Raw genomic sequence first — 12,046 nt, 5'->3', positions numbered from 1 at the left:
CCACTACTGTGCCTGGGACTCATGCACCTTTGACTCCTATGGTAGGAAAGTGCAGTAGCTTCCCAGGTGCATTTCTGCTGTCCTCACCCACATAAAGGTTGTATGAGAATCGAGTTCTTAAAGATTGGAGAAAGAAGGAAGAATGGGAGCAAGATTTTTCCCAATGGACTGTGAGGTCCCCCACCTAACCTTGATGTAAGACAAGTGAGGTTAACCCCAAGCCTTGTGAGAAGGGTTCCCATAAGACACTTGGAAATCCTCAGAACTGTTTCCTACAGAAGGATGTGGTTGGTGGGTTTGGTTTCCTGCAGAAGGATGTGGTTTATTCAGGTTTGACTCATGCTTGAGAAATCTAGAGACTCTGGTGGAGAATGATTTTAATAGCTAGTTCATTTCCACTAAGACATTCAGTATAAATAATAAGTAAAAATAAATAGAAACATTCAGTTTTATTTTAAATAGTAGGAGCAGGTACCATAATTTCTGTAGTTACTCTTTTAGTACAATGATGCATGTATACTGTGTGTAAGGCATATTAGCAGAAATTGAGTTCAGCACTAGGGAAGATGATTTCATTCCATGCAATGTTTCTTTAAAAAAAAAAAAGACTTATATAGATAGATTCTCAGAACAGCCCATGGCAAATGGACAGTTATTTGGAAAACTCAGGTTCCAAATTCACTGGAGTGTAGAATCTCTGGTTGGTTGGGGAGGAAATTCCTCTTGCAGTTGTTATTAATAATTATGTGAATATTATTAACTATATTAATGTTTATAATTTTGAAGACCTTGAAGGACTGGAGACAGAGAAGCATTTTTGAACACCCTCTGTAGCCTATGCACTGTTGTAGGCATTGATGGGTGGTACCAAAGATGGGACACTGTTCCTACCTCCAGAGATCTTGCAGGCTGGCTGCAGAGAGAAGGCAGAGAGGAGGTAAAAGAAAAATAAAGGCACATGTGTGTAAGTCACCCCAATGACAGTCAGTTAGTCATGGGAGGCTCCCCAGAGGAGCTGTCCTGAAGCTGGCTGAGAGAAGGCAACATTTCAACTTAGGACAGTAATCCTTGCTACATACAATCACACACACACATACACACACACACACACGTGCACACACAGACTCACATGCAAAAGAAACCTTCATGCCTTTCTGTAAACTTTATGTGGGTTAGATGGGGATGGTGATGAGGATGATGATGGGAAGGATGACATCATGTTCTAAACATTGTTCGGAATAACAATGACGAATAACTATTTGTGCCAATCAAGGTCTTCTCAGAAAAGATCTCATTCTAATGCTGAACTATACCAATTTCTTTGATCACTTCTCCAACAAAATAATTAGAAAGCGCTTATATTTCCTTGAAAGGAGAGCATCCTGTGTTGTTTACTACCACTTTTGAAACCTAGAAAAAAAATCTAAAAGTTGTTTATAATTTTACTGTTTAATTTCACCTTTGAAATATCAAAAACTCAGTGCTTGGAATTTGTCCTAAATTAATTGACAAAATTGCCAACTTGGACTCAAATGCGACTTCTTTCCCACCTTGTGCCACAGCATCCTCTTCATTTGATTGTGGGAAGCCTCAAGTGGAGCCAAAGAAATGTCCCAGAAGCATTGTAGGGGGTTGTGTGGCCCACCCACATTCCTGGCCCTGGCAAGTCAGTCTTACAACAAGGTAAGAACAGGCCCAGAAACCAACTATATTGTCCTTCCACACAAGCCCCACAAAATCCTTCTACATTTACACAGAACCCACACAGCTGAGGCATCAGTACCTGCCTCTATGTTTTCTGAAGGAGGAAAAAATATAGAAAAATAAAAATAATTATATTATTTTAGGTTCTCTACTTTGAAAATGGCCAAAATTGGAATCTTTTTCTTGATCTAAGTAGCTACATCAAAATCTGTAGGCGCAGTGATTTGCACCAAGTTCCGATATTGCTGGAAAATATTGAAGATGCTCTGAGGGTTTCTATGGATATCCATTGTCTCACTGTCAGATGAAAAGAGAGGGAAGTTTTTAGAAATGTGACACTTTGCAGTGAGGGAGGACAAGAGCAAACTTACCTACAGTCTGTCACAGGCACGATTTTTTTTTTACACTTTTGTGAATCATTGAATTCAATGCCGAGGCTACTCATCCATTCACAAACACAGGAAAAAATTATAGGTCATGATCCCCATAAATGAAGAGTAATCAGTCCAATCCCACAGAACCTGGACCTTTTGGGTATTGTTTCAGTGGAACATGCCTTTCATAAGTTCAGTTTTCTTGGGTATCTCTTAGGAAACACGCATAGGAAACAGGCCCAACCGCCTGCATGTTTTGCTTCCTTGGCTCACTTCTACATCAGGGTGCCTGTGCTCAATTACTGTTCTCCCCTAAAGAGCCTTCTTTTCACAGGTTTATGAAATGCCATCGACAAACCTGATCACATTGCATTTCACTCTGCCGTTGATTTGATTTTTCTTTACTTTATTGGTTAGAAACTCCTTGCTTTACAGAGCTTTCACCTTCCACATATTTCAGATTCATTCTTTCCTAAACTGCGTGGTGGTCTGTGTCCTCATGGATTTATCAAAGTGCTGCCAACATGCACTTTTTACCTGTACTCTTCATTACACTCTGGCTCCGAGTGGCTCACGCCAGTATTCTGAGCTATCACCTGCCTATGCAGTCCTAGAAAGCAAGTGATGTTCTGGGATGCTCTGACACTCTAGGAAGGAGAGAAGGGCCTTTCTGGCTCAGCCTAAACAGTAGCTGATCTCTCTCGTGCTCCCCAGTCTCCTCCCCACCATCCCAGCAAATGTGCAAATACAAGGTCTCCGCTCCTCATGGTCCTCAGAGAGCTAGGGTGTTCTGATGGCTTGAAAAAGCAATTTGGAAATTTTGAGTTTTGGAGGTATTCTCTGATAGGCTGATACATTTTGAGTTTAGAGTTCCCACCCCACATCCTCACACCCTAGAGTGCTCCACCAGGGAACCTGTAGACTGAGGACTTCTGCACCACAGATGTCTGTTGCCCAGAAGCAGAAAGTGTGTCTGCTTCAAAGTTGGTGGCAATGATGATTCTTTGTCAGAATAGGGCATTTCTCATATCCAGTCCTTTATCCCCTTGAACTTACTAAAGTAGAATCAGGTCTAAAAACCAGAGTTCTAATGTTTGAGAGTTCCTGGAACTCTAAGATATATAAATGTTCTTTGACAATGCCATTTTGTTCATGCAAGGTGCTTATTTCCAATCCTCTTTCATTTGATGTCTAGCATTTTACTGGATTCTTACAACCACGGTTTAGTAACATTCACAAGGAGGAAGTGGAGGATCCAGATGGAGCAACTTGCTCTGGGCACACAACACATTTGCAATTTTATACCCTCTTGATGATGTCTCGGCCAGACATTCTGCCCAGTCATCAATGCCCTCTTCAATTAATATGAAAGGACACACTTGGCATGAGATCCCAGTCGTGCACAGAATATACATGAGAAGTGCGCCTTTGTCATCCCTACTTTCAAAGGTGAAGGCCACCCTCAGCTTCTTGCATGCAACTCATGCCTTTCAAATGAAACCTTACATCTGTGTAGTCCATAGGCAACCACAGGCAAATGTGAGGGTGAAACGCTGTGTTCTACGTTGCTCTGTGTCATTGAAGCAAGGCAGTGCCAGCTCAGAGGGCTCTGGGGCCTCAAGGTAAGGATGCCTAGTTATAGGTACTGCAGCTCCCAGCTGGGCAGTCAAACATAACTGCTAATACTTCCCTTATAGGCCTGCCATCATCACTGACAGAGTAATCCCAGCCTGTCTGCCATCCCCAAATTACGTGGTCACCGCCTGGATTGAATGTTATGTCACTGGCTGGGGAGAAACCCAAGGTGAGATCAATTCCATTGCCCGTATAACAAATTGTTTTTGACCTACAGTGCATGTTACAAAATGAGCATTTTAGAGATCCTTGTACAAATTCCTATCCATGAACATTGTCCAACTCTCCTGACTTTGCCTGGGCACCTGTCTATGTCTCCATAATCAGTCTTCAAGGGATGTGGGCAAGGGGAGGGGGCCATTTCTTTGAGTCTCTCTCTTTTTTTGCTTTCAGAATCTTTTTTTAAATGATCGTATGTTTCCCTTACACCAAAAGCAAGCAAAAAGCCAGTAGAGGTCACTGAGTCTCTTAATCATAATTTCAGCGTTCATATTGCTTCCCAGGTAAGTGGGGTTTTGACCCAGATCTCAAGTTAAGGGTGTTAGATTATTTTTCATTTGAAATTCACCAGACTGGGTTTCTAAATATGATGTAAAACAATAACAACAAAAGTTATAGTTAAACTAGTCTTCTTCCCAAATACCCACATGTCTAACGTGTGTGGGAGGGTGTTAGGCAGGGGACCTACATCTGGGGAAGAGGCAGACAGGCCCCGTGGCCCCAAATCTAGGATGGCATTTGATATTGGTTGATGGGTGAGAGCAAGATAGGGAACACTTGTGCAGGATGTGGTGTCAGCACCTGTATTACATTTTAAGGATTCCTTCTCTTTGCAGTATGCTCTGACAATTATTATACCCATCAGCCTTACCCCCTTGGCAGTAGGAAAACTAAAACTCTTAATGTCTCAATTCCGCTTTCTCAGAGGTGCAGGTGAGGGCGTAGGGAGTCTGGGGCCCTGGAAAAGCGTTCTGACTCTGCCACTAGCCAGATAGACCTGAACTACACACGTTACCTCTTTGTATCACTTGGCTCTAATCCCTGTAAAACCAGCATTTTCAAATGGTGCTTTGCACATCAGCCTTTTGTATAAGCTTTCATTTAATGAAATGTCTTTTGGGTTTTTAAAAAACGTTAAAAACCACTGGCCTAGATAATTTCAAAGCTGGGTTCCCTATTTCTGTCTCTTTCCTATTATATTTAAAACCTCACCTCCTTGACTTCTTGTTCCCTTTTTCTGCACTGCTTAGTCTGGGAGCAGTGAGGCCAAATAAAAGGAAACTTGGCTTGAGGGACACCTATGGGTGTGCCAGGCTGCTCCTGGTGTTTGCATATTTTAAAATTTAAATACTAGAAACCTCTCCGCGTTAGGTATTGTTGTTTCCATTTTACCATTGAGGAAGCTGGGGCTCAGAGAAGGTGCAGGGTGGTACAGACAAACCTGAATTGGAACCCTGGCTCCCGCCTATGGGCTGTCGGGACTTAGAAAAGTCGTGAGCTCTCGCTGATTGTTTCCTAGCTGATGTGGGCTGCAGGGCTGTTACAGGGAAATAATAAGAAAGTGCATCAAGTGCCGAGCACATCCTAAGCACTCCACCATGGCAGCTCCTACTAATAATATGGAATAGAGTTGAATCTAACATGACTCTTTCTTGCAAGTGACAGAAAATCCAACTCAAATTGGATTAAGCAAAACAAGGCAAATTCTTAGTGAGCTGAAAAGTCTTCAGGCTCACATTAGGCCCCAGACCCCAGACCCTCCCAATCATGGAGTAGGCACTATTTGGGGCACAAAGGTGACACTCCCGTGGCTGCAGATGCTGTGGTGGCTCTGGCTCTGTTGAGAAAGAATAAGAAAGGCCACTCTCTCCCTTACATGAACAATAGTCTGTCCACTCTGAGAGACTGAAATTGGGTCATGGTCCTGCCCCTGAGCCCGTCACTGATTGGCTCTGACCTGCATCAGCTGTTCCATGCTGAAGGTGGAGGCAGGACCCCATTCATACCCAGAAGGGAGCAAAAGGTAGATCCCTCACCAGAATTATGGGATGTAGGGTGAAAGGCTGCTGGGCAGCCAGAAAACAAACAGATCCTCTACAATACTTCAACTGATGAAAGCATGAAGCTAAAATCATAAGGATCCGGGTGTGAGTTCTGTCTCTCCCATATTCCATGTGACGTTGGGCAGTTATTTAATCTCTTTTAGCCTCAGCTTTCTCATCTGTACTTACATATAAGGTCATTGTGAGGATTAGGGTTATTAATCATCGCCGTCATCCCCGTCCACCACTTATCATCATCCTCCCCATCAACATCATCACCACCACCGTCATCATCATTACTACCATTACCATCACCACCATTCCACCACCATCACCATCATCACCATCACCACCGCCATCATCATCATTACTACCACTACCACCGCCATCACCACCATCACCATCACCACCATTGCCATTATCACTACCACCACCATCATCACCATCACCACCACCATCACCATTATCATTACCACAACCATCATCACCACCACCATCATCACTATTATCACTACTATCACCATCACTATCACCACTATCATCATAAATAAACATCACATAACCGGCGTGTAACCGGGCCTTGACCCCAGAGCCCACTCGCTGTGTCCTCTCTCCCACCCCCTTCTGCACATTTCTAACCACCATCCTGCACTGGCTCCCTGTCTCCTCTGGTCTCACCCACATGTCCACTGAGAAAATGATTCTCAGAACACTAACTAGACCAGGAGGAGTCACAAAACATAACTCAGATCTGTTTATCGATTTTCTATATGTTGATGACATCAGATCAATGGGTGTTCTCAGCTTCTCAGAGGGAGGTCGAAATTCTCCCCCTCTCCCCTTCATGTTTCCAGACCTTCCTTGACTTGGATATTCCAAATGCAGAGTAGGTGTTGAGGCCAAGGGGCTCTTCCGTGTCAGCCCCATCCACAATCACTGGGCTAATCTTGTGGCCCTCTCCCCAGGACCCAATCAGGGAGGGCTTCAATCCTCAAGGTCACCCGTGGCCCCCCGCCCTCAGAGGTGCCATCTCTACATTGGCCACTGGATGGCAGCACATACTCACAGACCGCGTCAATTTCCTGGCAACTAGTGGTGGGTTTACCTCCTGATCAGGATGTTTGCCTTGCTCTGAGAGCAGATCTGAGAGCAGTGATATCTAACTTAATTTTCAGCAAAATATTTTGAAAAGGGTGCTCCCTCACCCATCTACACAGTCCACGTCATGCACCCCCTGCCCGATGCTTGGTAGCCAGGAGGAGCTTCCTCCATGCAGCTCCTTCCCGGCTAGGGCTGAGCTGGGCTCTGGAGCCAGGCTCTGGGAAGAGCCTCTTCTACGCTGCTCATGTAAACTCCAGATTCAGTGTCAGTTTTCTGAACCTGAGACAATGATCTAAGTGCAGTCCAACACTTTGGGGGAAGAAAGAAAGAGTGCCTCAGCTTTTGCCTGTGTCATGCTCGCAAAGCAAAATATTTTGAGAAATTCTAATCAAAGCTGGGCTTGCAAAATTGGAAAACGATTATTTGTGAGAGCACTGAGACATCCTTGGCGTGTCCATCTGGAAAAACAGCATTCCCTCTGGCAGTTTAGCAGATGTTCTGTTTCAATTTGGCAAAGGAAATAAAGCAGTTTTTCACAAAAGAAAAACTACAACTAGGAGAATTGTCCCTAGTTGTATTTCTTCTCCCTAATTGTCAAGGAAGTGTAAATCAGAAAATGAATCAGGACAATTTCCACCTACTATGTTAGCTAATCTTTTAAAAATTGAATACTCACAAGGGTGAGGAGAATTGTTTCCAGTAACATTTTATACTGTCACACACTTTTAGAAAATAATTTGGGAGTGTTACCGCGAGATGGAAATATGTCAACATAATTATGGGAACTTAGACTTCAGAAAAGAAACGAGAATGAACTTTATGAACAAACATGTGGAAGATTGGAAGCAAGAGTGGGGCCAGTGTGCACGGGGAGGAAGCATTTGGGCAGTGACTCCGCAGACCCAGGCTCAAGCTGAACTACACAACCTCCTTACACCTCAGTTTCCTCAGCTGTAGAACAGGAATGATAAAAGTGCCTGTTTCATAGGACGGTTGTGAGGATGAAGTGAGATACACCACATTAAGAGCTTGTGCCTGAAAAGGTTAATTCTTAGTAAATGACGACTATTCTTTTTATTGCAATAAAATATACACAACATAAGAGTTAGGATTTTAATTATTTTGCAGGGTACCACTGAATGGCATTCAGTACATTCACAATGGTGTGCAACCATCACCATATTTTCAGAACATTTTCCTCATCTCAAAAGGAAACCTCATGCCAATTAAGCAGTCACTCCCCATTAAAATATTAGTTATGAAGATTGTAGCATTATTTTAAAAACTCATGATATACATTGATTGAAAAAATCAGTATATAAAATTGTGCATTATGATGTAAGTAGTAAAGAAGCATATAAAAAATCTGAAAAAGTATATAAAAAGAATAGCAATTGCATTTCTCAGACTCTCTTTACATTGTAAAAATCATTTTCATACTTTCAAAAGAAAAGCAAAAAGTACACAAACAACAACGAACGTAAAACACCATGACAAAGCCCAGATCGTTAAACCCAGATCTCAGGAACACAGAATCATATATGATGTTTACACTCTCCAAGGTCAGAGAGTCCAGCGGCATTGGGAGCTGCCTTGTGTTCTGCAGCCTCACGGACAGACAGGAGGTCCAGTGCCACTGCTCTGTTCTTCTGGTTTTCCTCCTAAACATGTTTTGGGTTCAGCAACCATTTCTTTCATCTTTTAAACACAGGTACCTTTGGGGCTGGCCTTCTCAAGGAAGCCCCAGCTTCTTGTGATTGAGAATAAAGTGTGCAATCGCTATGAGTATCTGAATGGAAGAATCAAATCCACTGAGCTCTGTGCTAGGCATTTGGCTGGAGGCACTGACAGTTGCAAGGTAAGAAAAGGTCAAGAGACCAAAGTTAGTCTTGTGCTCTCCCTTCTTGGTCTCAGCCCCTTAGACTTCAGTCCCAAAGAGGCAAATTCTAGAAGGATTTGTCAACGTTAGACCCCAGTCTAAGTGTTGTTTAGAAACTGCCTAGATCTGTCCCTGAATGCGTATTCAGATCATCTAAGGGGATGTCTTGGGGCTTGAGTTCCAGATCGGTAGCAAGGGAGTTTTAAGTGCCGTAACTACCTCAGGCCACTCACCCTCCTGGGGTGTGCTGGTGGCCAGGGACTAAAGTGGTGACTTTTCCGACAGGGAAGGAGGTAGAGGGTACAGGACAGAGACCAACTGCACATACTTTACAGTGATGCCCAGGCTAGGCCAGTCTAAAGGAAACACCAACACAGGAAGGGATGTGTGCAGGATTCACAAGGGTTTTTTTTACCCCTGGGAGAAACTAAGTGGTGTGGTTTCGCTGAATAGATTTTGCTAAGTACTTAAGCACTGCAGATGCTCCAGTAATATGCCCATAAGTTCCTTTCCAATTTCAATTACTGGGAAAATATACATATGGACAATAGATGGATGCCACAATAAAAGGCTGGCAGCCTAACCCTCACATGAATTTTTCCCTACCTCTATTTAGGGTGACAGTGGAGGGCCTCTGGTTTGCTTTGAGAAGGACAAATACATTTTACAAGGAGTCACTTCTTGGGGTCTTGGCTGTGCACGCCCCAATAAGCCTGGTGTCTATGTTCGTGTTTCAAGGTTTGTTACTTGGATTGAGGGAGTGATGAGAAATAATTAATTGGACGGGAGACAGAGTGACGCACTGACTCACCTAGAGGCTGGAACGTGGGTAGGGATTTAGCATGCTGGAAATAACTGGCAGTAATCAAACGAAGACACTGTCCCCAGCTACCAGCTACGCCAAACCTCGGCATTTTTTGTGTTATTTTCTGACTGCTGGATTCTGTAGTAAGGTGACATAGCTATGACATTTGTTAAAAATAAACTCTGTACTTAACTTTGATTTGAGTAAATTTTGGTTGTGGTCTTCAACATTTTCATGCTCTTTGTTCACTCCACCAATTTTTAAATGGGCAGATTGAGGGGGTTGTGCTGTTTTTGATAAGGAACAGAGCACAAAGACCTGAGCAGGCTGCAAGGTCACAGAGGGCAGAGCCGAGAAGTCCTAGGAAGTTGTCCATGCATTTACCTCATCAGCTAACGAGGGCTTGACACACATTTTTATGTCTTTATACCTAACTCTGAGATGAATGTTTTCAAAGCTGCAACATGTATGGGGAGTCATGCAAACCGATTCTGTTATTGGGAATGAAATCTGTCACCGACTGCTTGACTTGAGCCCAGGGGACACGGAGCAGAGAGCTGTATATGATGGAGTGAACCGGTCCATGGATGTGTAACACAAGACCAGCTGAGAGTCTGAATGTTATTCTGGGGCACACGTGAGTCTAGGATTGGTGCCAAGAGCATGTAAATGAACAACAAGCAAATATTGAAGGTGGACCACTTATTTCCCATTGCTAATTGCCTGCCCGGTTTTGAAACACTCTGCAGTACACGTGTCACAGGAGAATGACCTGTGGGAGAGACACATGTTTAGAAGGAAGAGAAAGGGCAAATGTACATTTTTTACGATTTAAAATTTTAATTGTTACCAAACAAAAATATCCACTCAAAATACAATTCAACAATGCAACAGTCATCTTACAGCAGAGAAATGCAGAGAAAAGCAAAACTGCAAGTGACTGTGAATAAAGGGTGAATGTAGTCTCAAATCCTCAAAGAGTTGTGTTTATTTCATCGACAAATAGATTATTCGTATTCAATTCTGATGTGTTTTAAAGACTAAGATGCTCATTTTACGATTAGCGCACATGTGTATATTGTCACCTGTTCTCCTTAGAAAAATGCTCTTCCTCATGGTTAATGTTTCCCTTTGGTACCAATTTTGCCTGTTTGCATAAAGTATTTCATTTTTAAAACTCAGCATAAAATATAGACTGCATCTGAAAAGATATTGAATATAACATATAAAGCAGAACACACAAGTTCCACATTTCAAAAGCCTCGATAACAAAAAAAGAAAGATCAAATCCCTTATTAGTCTCTGTAAAGTCATTTATAAAGCTCCTGCTGATCCTGTTAAGCATGGATATAATTGATCTTTCTTTTAAATTAAAATGTAAGCTTTTCCCCAAGACATGTCAAAGTGCTAAGAATGAATAGGAATTGTCCATGTTTTTCGCTTTTGACCACGGGCACCATCGGAACTGAACTCACAAATATAAGAAAAATATCCCTTCACTTTTAAAATCCTAAGACCCAGAAATCAGAATCCATGGGATTTGTTTAGTAAAGAAGGGAATCTGTGGCTCTAGGTGTCCACTAAAGGAGAGCCAAAAATGTCCCAAATAATCTCAGAACCACAGCATCATTTTGTAAATAACAGAGCCAAGTCCTCAGATTGTACAGCAGATTGGTTCTTATTGCTGGAACAGGGCCTAAACCATGCCTGGAACCCCAGCTGTTACAGAGGAGGTGGACGGGAGGGACTCCTGACCTGTTCACATTGCGAAGGTGTGCGGAAACCAAGGTGAGCAGAGAACATGAATGCTCACACCCTTTGGCCCAGGTGCCTGTGATTCAGCCTTCTCATTAACAGGATTCCCAGATGTTCATCCTCCATGCAATCTTCAGAATGAATGGTCAGCTAGGAGCTTAGTCCCTTGACCAGATTTGATGAACACATTTCTGTACAACTTTCTCAAATCCTTGGTCGGCACATCCCACATTCTTGATGGAGCTGTCATGAGAATCAGGTTGGGGGCTTCTCTTGTCTCTCTTTAGCCTAATGGGTCAGAGACCACAGGGAACACAAGAAAAAAACCCAGGAAGGGCTGTGCACCTGACAGCTTCTTTGTTAAACTGGCTACATATTATGTGTTCCCAGAAACTTCAACAGCATTACAAATCCTAACTCATCCAACATTATATAAAAATACTCTGGATAGATTGAGGTCTTTATACAGTATTACAACAGCGCGGCATGATGTAGCTGAAATGCACACGTGCATCTCTGCAAGGCACAGCTTTGCAAGGAGGATCAGCTCCTGGATAGCTCCTTCTTTCTGTCTTTGTCGGGGGCCTCAAAGGTGAGAGCGGGAAACTGGGGTTTTCTTATTCCTGCCACATTTACAGGAATGTGGACTGAAAAAACAAAGGAGAAAGTCTTTAGGAAAGATTATGTAACTAGTTAGAAGAGGGTGTTCTGTTATTATTTAATAGTATAGCTGGTTTTGATCAAATACATT

At 42.9% G+C, this 12,046-nt stretch overlaps 1 protein-coding gene across 5 annotated transcripts in view; it reads right to left on the bottom strand.

The window, feature by feature from the left end:
* Nucleotides 10,361-12,046, bottom strand: part of SLC22A3 (solute carrier family 22 member 3) — a 104,200-nt gene continuing 102,514 nt past the window's right edge. For all 5 annotated transcript variants that reach the window (XM_005267106.6, NM_021977.4, XM_011536076.4 and 2 more), the window contains exon 11: nt 10,361-11,942. In XM_005267106.6, coding sequence (XP_005267163.1) covers nt 11,882-11,942 — 61 coding nt within the window. In that variant the 3' untranslated portion in view covers nt 10,361-11,881. The remainder of the gene's footprint in view (nt 11,943-12,046) is intronic.

The sequence above is a fragment of the Homo sapiens genome, chromosome 6 (genome assembly GCF_000001405.40).
Source record: "Homo sapiens chromosome 6, GRCh38.p14 Primary Assembly".
Lineage (NCBI taxonomy): Eukaryota > Metazoa > Chordata > Mammalia > Primates > Hominidae > Homo > Homo sapiens.
Note: the sequence above shows the minus strand (reverse complement) of the source record. Positions and strands in the feature narration are given on the sequence as shown.